General features: G+C 41.5%; 1 protein-coding gene across 3 annotated transcripts in view, besides 1 other annotated feature; it reads right to left on the reverse strand.

The window, feature by feature from the left end:
* The window catches only part of NUP88 (nucleoporin 88), a 34,830-nt gene that overhangs the window by 18,993 nt on the left and 744 nt on the right, over positions 1 to 15,093 (reverse strand). For 2 of the 3 annotated variants that reach the window (NM_002532.6, NM_001320653.2), the window contains exons 2-7: positions 12,688 to 12,857; positions 10,184 to 10,309; positions 6,878 to 6,964; positions 4,908 to 5,084; positions 1,232 to 1,418; positions 274 to 421 (exon numbers count right to left, since the gene is read on the reverse strand). In NM_002532.6, coding sequence (NP_002523.2) covers positions 274 to 421; positions 1,232 to 1,418; positions 4,908 to 5,084; positions 6,878 to 6,964; positions 10,184 to 10,309; positions 12,688 to 12,857 — 895 coding nt within the window. Of the gene's footprint in view, positions 1 to 273; positions 422 to 1,231; positions 1,419 to 4,907; positions 5,085 to 6,877; positions 6,965 to 10,183; positions 10,310 to 12,687; positions 12,858 to 14,189; positions 14,224 to 15,093 lie in introns of those variants that run through there. The other variant, XM_047436155.1, reaches the window with a different exon arrangement.
* Positions 9,479 to 10,678: an enhancer, noted in NCBI's record as "CDK7 strongly-dependent group 2 enhancer chr17:5316624-5317823 (GRCh37/hg19 assembly coordinates)". NCBI's record gives its function as "activates an origin of replication core promoter dependent on BRD2, BRD4, P300/CBP, MED14 and CDK7 cofactors, with strong dependence on CDK7, by STARR-seq in HCT116 cells {active_cell/tissue: HCT116}" and the evidence as "EXISTENCE:reporter gene assay evidence [ECO:0000049][PMID:35650434]".

The following is a 15,093-nucleotide window of genomic DNA, read 5'->3' on the forward strand; positions in this document are numbered from 1 at the left end:
ATAACATGGTAGTTCTACTTTTGAAAGGACCAGGAAAAATTCACTATTAGGAATCTGGTGATCTGGACCAAAGACCACTATTTTAAAACTTGGGAAATTTGCTCAGTCTGCCTTAGACAAAAAGTGTACTATAGTGACTAAAAAGCTAAAAAAAACCCAGTCAACTTTTTAAAGGCTGGAACCACAGAACAAATACATTACATAGGAACAGTCTATGATAGTCTTAGTATAAAAATCATGGGAAAAAAGCACTACATTTATTGAAGAGCTTACCTCTATGAAGTTTGACTGGACAAGAAAAGTCAGAATCAAAAGGGTCATCCTCTCCAGATGCCAGTTTCAAAGCAAGCTCCAACTCAACACATTCAAACACATACAGAGAAGGAATGAGGTCAATCCTGGAATCCCAGGACTTTTCTGACTGTAAAAAAAAGTGTTGTAATTTTGATCTTGCATGTTAATTTGAAAATGTACACAATTAAAAACAGGCAAAAAGCTGGGTCAGGGCCGGGTGCGGCTGTTCTTGCCTGTAATCCCAGCACTTTGGGAGGCCGAGGCAGGTGGATCATCTGAGGTCAGGAGTTCGAGACCAGCCTGGCCAACATACTGAAACCCTGTCTCTACTAAAAGTACAAGAAATCAGCCGGGCGTGGTGGTGGGTGCCTGTAATCCCAGCTACTGGGGAGGCTGACGCAAGAGAATCGCTTGAACTCAGGAGGCAGAGGTTGCAGTGAGCCGAGATCACACCATTGCACTCCAGCCTGGGCACCAAGAGCGAAACTCTGTCTCCAAAAAATAATAATAAAAAATAAATAAAAAAATTGAAAAAAAAGCTGGGTCAAACAGTACTTTCAAATTCTTAATTCCACCTCTATCCTAACAGTGCACTGTTATTCTGAAGACAAAACGTCTCTCTTCCTTTAGGAAGATGTTTGTGAAAAAAGCCAATTCAGTGATTCCAAGGCTCTTTGTATCTGTCCCTGAAGATTGCAATATAGAGACCAGAAAGTAACATGCAGACTGGTGGACCAAGTAAGTTGGGCAACCTTCTAACTTCTTTCCACTTAGACTGCTAAGTGTGCTTCAGCTACTTTTTTAACTGTTTAATTTCCAAAATATCAGAAGTTCCATAAGTAAGTTAAAATTCCTTCTCATATATTAAGCATTCATATTGGGTCAGGAACTATGCCAGGTGTTGAAGATACAAACAACCACAGCAGCCTGCACTTACCGTGTGGTCATCTTCTTCTTCCCCTTCTAGCACGACACAGTGATACAGCATTCCTGATTCAGTAGCGATCACTAAGATATTGGGGACACAGGGTAAGCAGAGTACAGCACACGCATCATAACCATAGTTATCTTCAGCCGCAGGATGCATGGGCAATGGACCCAACAGCTTTCCAATATTTCCAGGGCTAAAGAAGGAGTAAAAACATATTTGGGAAATGTTGACAGTATGCATGCTCATCCCATAAAACCATTCTTTGACTTTGTTTTCCTCCAGCTATCATACCTTCATTATAAATGTAGTGTATTCCCAATACTCCATCTTCTCGCTTTCCCACTCAGATCCCACCACTCTGTGTTTCTCAACCAGAGATAATTTTGCCCTAGCGGACAGTGGCAATGTCTGAAGACATTTTGGCTTGTCACAACTGGTTGTCACAATGTGGGGGGAGGTATTAGCATCTAGTGGTTAGAGGCTAGACAGAAGCCGCTAAACATTCCCGCACAGCACAGCACCTCTAAAACAAACAATAATTCAGACCAAAATGTCAATAGTACAAAGGTTGAAAACCCTTGCCCTAAATTTACTATGGTTTATGCTTTCACCACTCCACTGAAGCTACTGTGGCAAAGGTCACCTGTGAGATTTGCTAAATCCAAAATGCACTTAACCTTCTGCTGCATTTATCACTGGTTAACGACTACTGCTACTCAACAGCTGTAACAATTCTTTCTTGTAGTTCTCTCTTCCTACCTCTTTAAACACAATTTTCTAACGTCCTTTTCTAATTTCTGTCTCTTAAATATTGGTGTTCTCCAGGATTCTGTTGTATGCTTTGACTTTTTTCAAAATACACACTTAAATGAGAGCCTGTTAAACTATGCCTCGTTTTAACTACCATCTATATTCAAAGACTACCAAATCCTTTCTTCTAAAATGTAGCTTCTCTTCAAGGCTTTGGATCCCCATATTAAATTTGATTTGACAAATACTTATTATTGAGTGCTAGATGATACTCCCAGTGAATGATGGTTTAGTTGATGAGGCAGACATTTAACCAGAATTACTATACCATGTGATAAGTGCAACAACAGAAGGATTTATGGTGTACAAAGGAATGACAAAAAGATACAAAGATAATGAAGAAAGCTATAAAAAATAAATGAGAAAAATGAGAAAGAATGATTTCTGGGAAGGGGATTGTTGAGCATTCCAAGCTAGAGATCAGTTTATGCAAAGTCCTGGAAACATGAAAGACAAAGAACTAAGAACAAGAAAACTTATTTAGTATGATGGGAGGCAAAGTACAAGGTGGAAGGCAACGGCAAAATAGCTAGACAGACATCCAGGACTGGCTTATGAAGTACACAGTCTTGTGTGCTATGTTAAACTATTTGAAATCTATCTGCCGGGTAACAGTATATCACTAGAGGTTTAAATCAAGCGATGGAGCCTCACTTTACAAATCAGTCTGGTATTAGGGAGGAAGACATGGAAGGGTCCAAAATGGGATTTGGGGAAACTATTTAAGAAAATAAGCCAGGCAGATGGTGAAGTAGGCAGATGATGCAGTTCTGAAGCAGGGACAGAGGAATGCAGAGAAGGGTGTATAATCAGGGGTGTCCAATCTTTTGGCTTCCCTGGGCCACACTGGAACAATTGTTTTGGGCCACACAGAAAATACACTAACAATACGTGATGAGCTTTAAAAAAAAAAGAAAAGAAAAGAAAATCGCAAACAAATATCATAATGTTCTAAGAAAGTTTACAAATTTGCGTTGGGCTGCATTCAAGGCTGTCCTGGGCTGCGCGCAGCCCGTGGGTTGGACAAGCTTGGTGTATACTTTCGAAAAATTTAAATCACAAAATCAATAGAAATTTGGGACTGATGAAATGTAAGGATGAAGAAAACTTTTGGGTTTTGGGCTAACGTTACTAGGCAGATCATGGTTTGGACAAATGAGGGCTCAGCAGCAAGAGGAGAAAGGGTAAGGGAAGGTACTAAAGTTACCACAAAATCCTCCTGAGATCATGTGTGAAAGGCAGAGAACATTTCTGCCAAGGAGAATGCACTCAACAGTGAATCCTCACCATTCTGTAACCTACCGAGCTCTTTCATCTTTCTAATCTTTATGGTTTTGCGTACTCTCTTCTCTCTCCTGTACCCACTTCTGATTCTGTCTAGTGAATCCTTCAAGTTCAAGCTTTTGTAATAGCATTTCCTTAAAGTCTTCCAAGATGAGCAGGCCTACTCATTTACTCCATCACACTCCTGAAGAACCCGGTGATGCCCTGAGCACATGACACTGTACTATAGTTACTGGTTTAGTTGTATGCCCTTCTGGTAGTTAAGGAACCACATGGCAGGAACCTTGCCTTCAATCTTGTATTTCCATCTTCTGCCAGAGTGGGTCCTGAATAAGTATCTGTTAAGTCGATTTACAAGCGAATAAACTCTAATGCTCAGCCCTTAGCCTTATGCCTCTGCAGTTTTCCCTCAAATTCTTATCCTGTATAGACTCTCTCACCATGAAAGATGATTCTCATACCTCTATTTTAATTCTTCTTGTCTGTCATCATCCTGTATTTCCAACTGTCCATGGAATATTTCCATTTTATTGGTCCAATACTATCTTACACTGATTTACTTAGAAATAAATCTTCTCCCCCAATTAGCAGCCTTTACTGACCTGTTTCTGTTCATGGCATACTCCCTTATCCAAACAGTAACTAAGTCTTATTTATCCTTCCTTTGTTGTTATCTACTGTGTTTCATTTTTCCCTCTGTTCTATTACCACCCAAGTTCAAACTCTCATAAATGACAAGCTCAATTTTGCAAAAGCTTCTTTAAAAGTCTCTGTCCCAGTCCCCTCCCTAACCAATTGTTTTGTCCTTCTGTTCAGAAACCATCACTGGCTTCCTACTACCCTATTCCTACAGAAAAAAAACCCACACTCACTCTTTTAACGAGGTATTTTTAATTCCAGCAAATTTTCTCGGGACAGATACTCCAGCTTTATCACTTAATGCTCCCTACATGAATCCTCAGCTCTAGCCCAGAATGTCTAATAAATTAAGCTTGAATGACACTTGCACTTGCTTATTTTCAGACGCTACTTTATGCTGCCCTTGACAGAAATGGTCTCACTCTTCCTTGATACTTCATTTAATCCTGAATGAGACCTTTAAGTCACACATGACACCACTCCTTCTCTACGAAAATTTCCTTAACCTCCCAGTCAGAATGATCTCTCCTTCCTCGGGGTTCTTACTGTCTGTGTACCAATACTGTGGTATGGATAGTATTTTTTCATGTGTATGTATCTTTCTCCCCACAACTGGGACATAAGATACCAGATTACCACGCCTACGTGGTGTCTTGTTCATATAAGATAAACAATAAGCACTTGTTCGGATAACTAGAATTTGTGAACACAAATCCAGGCCTATCATAAGTGATTATCCAAGAATTCTATAGAACTTACCCAAATAATATGAAGAAATGAAAGGCCAAATGACCTGTACTAACTCTTTCTCAAAAATATGCAAGCCAAGCATGTGAAGGCTGCAACATTTCCACAGACTCAAAAACATGGCTCCCAAGTCCAGCCTCAATGATATCTACTGGAGCCCAAACTGAGTTTTCATTTCAGGTGGGTGACCACCTCAACTTACCTGTGTAACAGACTGATGTATGTCAGGAAAGTCTCTCCATTTTCATATAAGATGTACAGTGGGTATGCCACTACTTCATCTTTGCCGTTTTGTCCAAATAGAGTCTTTGGGACTGCTGCCAATGGCCCAAAGTCAAATGCAACTGCTGTCTCTCCTAGAGATGCGGTATACGCCCTTCTGGAAAGAGATGTAAAAACCAACTTGTTAAAAACAAAAACAACAAAAAGTAAAAAGAAAAACAAAACAAAACAAAAACACAAAATGTCTAATAACAGGAGGTGGGTATGTATGGAATTTGTAGGCAATGGACTGAAAAGACAAAAAATGATTATGAAGAATGTTAACATTTAAAAATTCTCAGCTGGGTGCAGTGGCTCATGCCTGTAATCCCAGCAATTTGGGAGGCCGAGGTGGGTGGATCACCTGAGGTCAGGAGTTCGAGACCAGCCTGGCCAACATGGTGAAACCCCGTTTCTACTAAAAATACAAAAATTAGTTGGGCGTGGTGGCAGGTGCCTGTAGTCCCAGCTACTTGGGAGGCTAAGGCAGGAGAATTGCTTGAACCTGGGAGGCGGAGGTTGCAGTGAGCCGAGATTGTGCCATTGCACTCCAGCCTGGGCGACAAGAGCGAAACTCCGTCTCAAAAAAAAAAAAAAAAAAAAAATTCTCATGAAATTAAGTGAAAAAAGCTGGCCATAAAATTATTTGGTTCTACTCTCATCTTAAATAGTTTAAATACACAGATATACAAATAGCAAAAATTTATTATATACACACACATAAATGCAAAAAGGAAACAGGAAAACACATGAAAACATCAACAGTTGTCTCTGAGCAGCAGGATCCGTAAGTTCTACAAATACTCGCAAAGCACCTACTCTGTGCCAGGTACTTTTCTAGGGTCTGGGAATATGTCAGTGAATTAAACAAATGTCCTGCCCTCTAGAGAGAGAAATACCACAAAAAGAGAAGAAATAAAGATGGAACATAAACTCAGAAAATATCATGAAAAATAAAGTAGGGTAAGAGGGTATTGATGGAGGTGCTACTTTAGACTACTTGGTATAGGAAAGACTCTGATAAGATATTTGAGCAAAGATCTGAAGGAAGTAAGAGAGCAAGTCTGTGGTTAACTAGGGAAGGAGCAGTTGAGGTGGAGAGCAAATGCTCTAAGGTAGAAGTGCTTAATGTCTGTGGAATGGCAAGGAGGCCAAGGTGCCTGGAGCCCAGAGAGCCAGGGCACAGAGGGAGGAATGAAGCTGGAAAGGCAATCAGGTGGCATACCTGTGGACCCTTTATAGGTAAAGACTCTGGGAAATCAATGGGGTATGGAGAGCAGGGAAGTAGAATGATCTGATTAAACTGATCTGATTAAACTTAGATTAAAGTAGAATGATGTGATTAAACTTTGGGTGCTGTATTGAAACAGGCTATAGCTATAGGAGATTACAAAGATTTTCATTTTCTTCCTAATACTTTGATCTATTTTTCTCAATTTTCTACAGCAAATATACATTACATGTATATCAAGAAGGCAAATCATAAAACCATGCTGTTTTTATATTTAAAATTTACTGTAGTTATTCAGGAAGATTCTAGTTCAATACAAAGTTAACAAATATGGTTAAAATGAAATCACAATTTCATATAGTTGAGAGAGCAAACATCAATGCAAGATATTATCTTAGTTTCTTTATCACATAGAAAGGTGATAAAGAAATGAATGGTGGCTCAGGCCTGTAATTCCAGCACTTTGGGGAGGCTGAGACGAGCAGGATCACTTGAGCCTAGGAGTTCCAGACCAGCCTGGCCAACACGACGAATCCCTGTTCTACTAAAAATACACTTACTTCTCACATTACCAAAAGCATGCTAGTCACCTCTGAAAAACCTTGCAACCTGTTAAAATTGCATTTATAATCCCAATAAGCTAATTAAAAAACCATTTCAAGACTCAAATAAAAACTTACCCTTTATTGAGTACTAGACTTTCCTCTTCGGCTTCTGAAAGTATTATCACGTTAGTGGGTGTCTGCGGCTCACGTAGTGAGTAAATTCTAGCAACCAAAAGAGAAGAAAACCAGCACTTAAAATTCTGTTTTCATTTCCCAAAACTGCACTTTCCTCTCCATCTAGTCAGTTCTTGAGAATTTTCTAACACTTATCACAACTATTTCTTTGCAAAAATCTTGCTGTTGCAAAGTAGTCTAGTTCATTTATTCTTTAACTACATAAGGGAGTTTCATTGGGGCCTGAAGAAATGTTCTCTATCCTTACCAATACCCTTTAACAGCCTATTCCATAACATCGCACCTCTGTCACTTCCGTCCTGAGCCCTTAGCTATACTCGCCTTGTCCAGTCATCTCACTATTGCCCCTAAGCTTGCCAGTTTTCCTTCAACTACACACATCTATCTCTGCCTATTGGACACCAAATCCCACCAGAGAAAGAACTGTATCTTATTCTTTATATGCCAACTGGCTGACAGAGTGAGTGATATTTAGCCTGCAAATCTACTTATGTGTTTGTTATATAAAAACCCAATATTGGCCAAGCACGGTGGCTCACACCTGTAATCCTAGCACTTTGGGAGGCCGAGGTGAGCAGATCACTTGAGGTCAGGAGTTCGTGACCAGCCTGGCCAACATGATGAAACCCCGTCTCTACTAAAAATACAAAAATTATTTGGGTGTGGTGGCACACACCTGTAATCCCAGCTACTCGGGAGGCTGAGGCAGGAGAATCACTTGAACCTGGGAGGTGGAGGTTGCGGTGAGCTGGAGGCTGGAGTGAGCCAAGATCACGCCACTGCACTCCAGCCTGGGCGACAGAGCGAGACTCCATTTCAAAAAAAAAAAAAAAAACCAAACAAACAAACCCAGTATCGTATCATCTCTATTTTCAAGGGAAAGTATAATACTGAATTTTTTTAACCAAAATTATTTTAATTTAAAGTAACCTACATTTCACAGCATATAAGGCTATTGTGAAAAAGGGAATTTTCAAAAGGCCAGTAATGTCATTTTAGAAATCCAGTGTCCCTTATAATCACTTATTTTGTCTGACGCCACTAAGAATTTTTTAACTTGGTTTCTTCCAATATCAATAAAATGCCACATTAAGTATTTAATAAATTTTTAATGATAACTTGATCCATTTGAATACACATTTATTACAGTCTTCCTAGGTTCCTACAAGCGTTACTAACTTCAAAATACACATAAATACTAGGCAATAATGTTGTACTGGGGAACAGTGAAAGAAAAAGAAGGTGCAACAGGGCATTCGGTGAAAATTTCCTTTTGCTCTGAAACTGCCCAAAATCTCCAAAGCTTAGGAAAACAGAAGTGTTAAATACCACATATTTTAAAAAAGAACCTTCAATATTTGGGGCCAGATACTTCCTTTGGGGCTTAAGAACTGTACCTATGCTATCTTCCCACCATCTCCTTTTCCATCATAGCATATAAAAGGAAGACTAAGAAGAGAGGATGTCAAAGATTCCTTAGGAGTACAGTATAATGTTTGTAATGGGAAGATTTTCCCTCTCCTCTTTCTCTGCCCTGAACTCTAAAGCCAAATGGGTGGGCAGGGAAGGCTCTAGGAAACAGCCAGATGTGGAGGTACCTGTAATAAGGGAGACTGGTGCATTTCCTAGCTGAATGCCCCTTAGTCACTTAGTAGCTGTCTCAGTTATAAGATCGAAAAAACATAGCAATACACACGTATCACGTTCAGTACTATCTACAGTTTCAGGCATTCACTGGGGGGTCTTGGAACACACACCCTGCAGATAAAGTATACTGTACCCCATCTTGAGAGAAGATTCAGGGCATAGAGAACTGACAGGAGCCAATGGGAGCCAGAGCTCCTCAGTGATGGGGGGAGCTGGAAGTTCAACACTGCCCTCCAACACCACCCCACCCCCCCACATACACACACACAAACACACCATCTATGCAGAGACTACCACATCAACAGAGTTCACTAGTGACAGATGGAACGAGATTCAAACAAGATCAGGCATACTTCCCCATCACTCACAGGCTACCAGTTCGGTAAGATCTCTACCTCACCTGTCCCACTCCCCTACCCCACACTGAAGGAGTTAGATTTGGAGGAAGGAGGGGGCAGCCCATTCCTTACACTTCACCCTATGTTCCAAAGTGCTGGGATAACAGGAAGAGTGAAAGAGCAGACCGCACACTCTCCAATCACTTCTGATCCCACAAAACACAGGTCTGACCTACAAAAGGGCCAGGACATAGTTGTGAAAGATTTGAGATCAAATAGCTTTCGACATTCTTATTTTCTTTAGACAGGGTTTTACTCTGTCACCCAGGCTGCAATCTTCCTACCTCAGTCTCCTGAGTAGCTGGGACTACCGGCACATGCCATTATGCCCAGCTAATTTTTTTTGCAGAGACAGGATCTCACTGTATTGCCCACATTGGTCTCGAACTCAGGGGCTCAAATGATCCTCCCACCTCGGCCTCCCAAAGTGCTGGGATTACAGGTGTGAGCCACTGCAACCAGCCAAGATGAGTTTTAAACTGGACACACTGTTTTCATAACTAGAAGTAACGAGAAAGCTATGGGGATCTGTATAAGACATCATTAAGGGGTGAGTCATTCAGCAGTGAAGGAAGATTTAGTAGAGCACAGTTAAAAGCAGTGATTACGAAAAATAAAACTGAAGGTATCTGTACCTCTGCTGAGTCCCCCCAATAACTTTTTACATAAGGCCGATCCAGAAAGTTAGCTGATAATAGAGTAGAAATCTACGTAGCATTAGGGCATTTAATCATAGAGTGCAAAGCTTGGAAGGGGCGTTAGAAACTATTGAATCAAACCTGCTCAATTTAAAAGATTGGAAACTGAGCCCCCCAACCCCTAAAAAGCTCAAGATCTCAAAGATAACAGAAAAGGAGGTGGGACAATAATTCAAATCTCTAAATTTACACTTACATTCTCTTTCCTTTATGCTACATTATTACCAAAAGGGTGACAATGATGAAAGAGTTTTGGAAAGATTATTCTAAGGTGTCAGATTAGGAGAGGAGATACCTGGAGGCAGGAAGACTAGTTGAGAAGGAATAGTGGTAAGTTAGAGCAGTTAGGCAATTCTTATGATTGAGAATGGGTTACAACAGCCATCCAATAAAAGCACTGACTCATTCAATGACTCACTTCGTTCTATGTTGAGCTGTTAATTGGCAAACAGAAACAGAGCTTTCCCACTCGCAAGGCTTCAAGAGAGAGAAATAAAATTTACCTGATTACGTTGTCTGATGTTAACAGCACTACGTGGGGATCCAGGATTTCACTTGGATACCATGCAGCATGCTTTAGAGTCAGAGAGGTGGAACTGGTGAAAAATCTCTCCGCAACTGGAGTGGTACTAAAATAAAGATAATAATTTTCCAAAACATTTTGTACAACTTGGATGAAAATCTTCTAAAGGAACTTCTTTTTTTTGCAGATGGAGTTTCTCTCTTGTTGCCCAGGCTGGAGTGTAACGGCACAATCTCGGCTCACTGCAACCTCCGCCTCCCAGGTTCAAGTGATTCTCCTGCCTCAGTCTTTCAAGTAGCTGGGATTACAGGCACCTGCCACCTCGCCCAGCGAACTTTGTATTTTCAGTAGAGAGGGGGTTTCTCCATGTTGGTCAGGCTGGTCTCAAACTCCCGACCTCAGGTGATCTGCCCACCTCGGCCTCGCAAAGTGCTGGGATTACAGGCATGAGCCACCACGCCAGGCCCTGAAGAAATTTCTATTTTAACACTCTTTGATTCTCTTTCCTTCAGATTTATTTCCCTGAAATCATGCTGAGAGGACATTCAAGGCATCTATTCAATCAATATCAAAGAATTGAAATAAAAATATCTTCTAAATTATAGCACACTGGCTGGGCGCAATGGCTCACGCCTATCTTAGCACTTTGGGAGGCCAAGGCAGGTGGATCACCTGAGGTCAGGAGTTTGAGACCAGCCTGGCCAACATGGTAAAACCCCGTCTCCACTAAAAATACAAGAATTAGGCAAGTGTGGTGGCACATGCCTGTAACCCGTTACCCGTGAGGCTGAGGCAGAAGAATCGCTGGAACCCAGGAGGTGGAGGCTGCAGTGAGCTGAGCTTGTGCCACTGCACTCCAGCCCGGGCTGAGGAGGTTGCAGTGAGCTGAGATCACGCCACTGCACTCCAGCTTGGGCTACAGAGCCAGACTCTGTCTCAAAATAAATAAATAATTTATTTATTTTAATAATTTAAATTATTTATTTAAATTTTATTTGTTTATTTATTTGAGATGAAGTCTCACTCTGTGGCCCAAGCTGGAGTGCAGTGGCGTGATCTTTGCTCACTGCAACCTCCGCCTCCTGGATTTAATCAATACTTGTGCCTTAACCTCCTGAGTAGCTGGGACTACAGGCGTGTGCCACCACACCCCACTTATTTTTTGTATTTTAGTAGAAATGAGGTTTCACCATGTTGCCCAGGGTGGTCTCAAGCTCCTGAGCTCAGGTGATCCACCTGCCTCGGCCTCCCAAAGTGCTGGGATTACAGGTGTGAGCCATCGTGCCTGGCTCCAAATTATAGCATATTTCATACGTATATATACATTTTAGGATGGTTTGACTTAGGATTGATACATATTTATACAGTACAAGTGTTTTCAGATATAGTATCTCATTTGATCTTTTTACTAACCCTGTAAGGAAATTACAAGGGCAGATATTATCAATCCTATTTTTAAAATGAGGAAACAGATTTAGAAGGTAAACAGTTTAAGGGGACTCAACTTATAAGTTGCGGAGCTAAAAGCAGTTTCTACCTTATACAGATGATCCCCAACTTTACAATGGGTTTACCAGTACATAAGCCAACATAAACTGAGGAGCTCCTTACGACTTATGATGGGGTTACCCATCATAATGTTGAAAAATCCTACGTTGAACCATCCTAAATCGGGGATCCTCTGCTGTGTTGTCAGCAATAAATCCATTTTCAACTTACACTGGGTTTATCGGGACATAACCCAATCGTAAGTTGAAAAGCATCTGTACTCTTTTCAGTAGATCTTTCAGATTCACTTTTCTGGATTTGTTGAAAAAGAAATTATATAAAAATAGGCCAGGTGCGGTGGCTCACACCTATAACCCCGGCACTTTGGGAGGCTAAGGTGGGTGGATCACTTGAGGTCAGGAGTTCAAGACCAGCTTGGTCAACATGGTGAAACCCCGTCTCTACTAAAAATACAAAAATTAGCTGGGCATGGTAGCGCTTGCCTGTAATCCCAGTTACTCGGGAGGCTGAGGCAGAAGAATCGCTTGAATCCAGGAGGCGGAGCTTGCAGTGAGCCGAGATTGTGCCACTGCACTCCAGCCTGGGTGACAGAGCAAGACTCCATCTCAAAAAAAAAAAAAAAAAAAAAAGTATATATATATATACACACATACACACACACACACACACATAAAATACTTACACTTCTGGCAAACTTCTGGCTGACAGATAACTGGTTTTACAAAATCTTACTTCTACCTAATCGAAAGAATGGCCTAGCCTCAAATGAGACAGCAACGTGGTACTTCAGGCAGAATAAAGTACAATCAATTACACATATACTATGAACATTGATAACACAGAAGCCAGTCTGCAGACCACGAGGAGTGTTTTAATGTTTTAAGAGTAGTATACTAAACATGCTTAAGAACCACTAGTCTTGAACAATTTTCTGTATATATAATAAATTATACAGATAAATAGTATACAACTTACCTACAATTCACTGTTGATTTTCCACCTTCAAATTCAGAATTCTTCCCCCATCTTTTAGGTAATTCTAATACCATAAGTCCTTTTATTCCTATAAGTGCTACATGATGTTGTGTTGGGCTTAACAAGACTTGATAGATTTCAAACAGGGGTGGATTTATGCAAAGCAATCTCTGAAAATTAGAGCAAACCAGTCAACATAGTTAATTTTAATTTAAATATAGGTGGCAGTTACTTGAAATCACAGTAATACTTAGTTTACTACAATTATAGGATAATAAAACTCTGGATAAGTACTCACACTTGTACCATTAACTCACAAATTTTTTTTTTTTTTTTTGAGACAGAGTCTTGCTGTCACCCAGGCTGGAGTGCAGTGGCAGCCCACTGCAGACTTTACTATGGGGGTTCAAGTGTCCTCCCCACCTCAGCTTCCAGAGGAGCTGGGACTACAGGTGTGCACCATCACTCCCAGCTAATTAAAAAGGTTTTTTTTGTAGAGATGGGGGTTTCGTCATGTTGCCCAGGCTGGTCTGAACACCTGTTCCCGTGCTCACAAGATCCACCTGCCTCCACCTTGGCCTCCTAAAGTGCTGATTATAGGCTACAGCTACCACACCCAGCTTACTCATGCTTGCTTTTAACATCCAAAGTTACAACTCATGATAAGCTGCTTTCTTCCCCATCTCTAAGGTTTTGAGATTTTGGAGGAGTGAAGGTTATTGAGATAGTCACCAATATTTACTGAAAGCTTATAAATTCTGGGCACTCCAGCATTTCTGTATGCTGGACATACAAAAATAAGTAAATAGCCAGGCGTGGTGGCACATGCCTGTAGTCCCAGCTACTTCCAGGCGCTGAGGTGGGAGGATCACTCGACCCCTGACAGTAGAGGCTCCAATGAGCCGTGATCACACCACTGCACTCCAGCCTGGGCAACAGAGAAAGACCCCATTTCAAAAATAAAAAATAAAATACGTTTTTAAAAAATGACAAGGGCAGACCCAGCCCCTGCCTTGGAGCTTACAGTCTAGAAAAGAAGACAGAGGCAGAGTGCCATGGCTCACGGCTGAAATGCCAGCACTTTGGGAGGCCAAGACGGGTGGATCACCTGAGGCCAGGAGTTCCAGATCAGCCTGGTTAACATGGTGAAACCCCGTCTCCACTAAAAATACAAAAAGTAGCCGGGTACGGTGGAGTGGGCCTGTAATCCCAACTACTCAAGAGGCTGAGGCAGGAGAATCGCTTGAATCCATGAGGTGGAGGTTGCAGTTAGCTGAGATTGCACCACTGCACTCCAGCCTGGGCAACAGAGCGAGATCCTGCCTCAAAACAAAACAAAACAAAAACAGCCGGGCGCAGTGGCTCACGCCTGTAATCCCAACACTTTGGGAGGCCAAAGCCAGCAGATCACGAGGTCAGGAGTTCAAGACCAGCCTGGCCAACATGGCGAAACCCCGTCTCTACTAAAAACACAAAAATTAGTCGGGCGTGGTGGCAGATACCTGTAATCCCAGCTACTCGCGGGGGGGGCTGAGGCAGAAGAATCGCTTGAAACTGGAAGGTGGAGGTTGCGGTGAGCCGAGATGGCGCCATTGCACTCCAGCCTGGGCAACAAGAGCGAAACTCCATCTCAAAAAAAAAAAAAAGACACAAAATAATTATAAATAATTAAGTTATGATTATGTCAAATGCTACACAGCAGTATAGAATGTTATTAGAATACTGCGTGCTGCACATTTGGTAATTATTATTATTTTTTGAGACACAGTCTTGCTCTGTTGCCCAGGCTGTAGTGCAGGGGCGTGATCTCAGCTCACTGCAACCTCCTCCTCCCAGGTTCAAGCGATTCTCCTGCCTCAGGCACCTGAGTAGCTGGGATTACAAGGGCGCGCCACTACACCTGGCTAATTTTTGTATTTTTAGTAGAGACGGGGTTTCACCATGTTGGCCAGGCTGGTCTCGAATTCCTGACTTCAGGTGATCCACCTGCCTCTGCCTCCCAGTGTTGGGACTGCAGGCGTGAGCCACCGCGCCCGGCCTTCATAATTCTTTTTAACTGAAATTGGGTAAATAAGTAGACTGTAGACTCCTGCCCTATTTTCAAAACTGCAGAAGCATTGCTAGCGTCTTATTAAAATTAAATCACTTCTCGGTAACAAGAATTGGACCGGGCACACAACAGATGTCATACCTTAGAATGAGTACCAAGCTCTTTTTCATCTTTAAGAGAATCTGTGTATTACAAATAAACATTTCCATAAACCAATATTTGACCACGGCAAGTGTGTAATACTTTCTGGATCACACCCATTTTCACATGCTGTCGGCTAATCAAAAACAAAAATCCCCATTTTGGGTATGGCTTTATTTTCTAAAGCGGGCGTTACGGGGGTAAGAATTAACAGA

Source organism: Homo sapiens, chromosome 17 (assembly GCF_000001405.40).
Source record: "Homo sapiens chromosome 17, GRCh38.p14 Primary Assembly".
In the NCBI taxonomy this organism is placed as follows: Eukaryota; Metazoa; Chordata; class Mammalia; order Primates; family Hominidae; genus Homo; species Homo sapiens.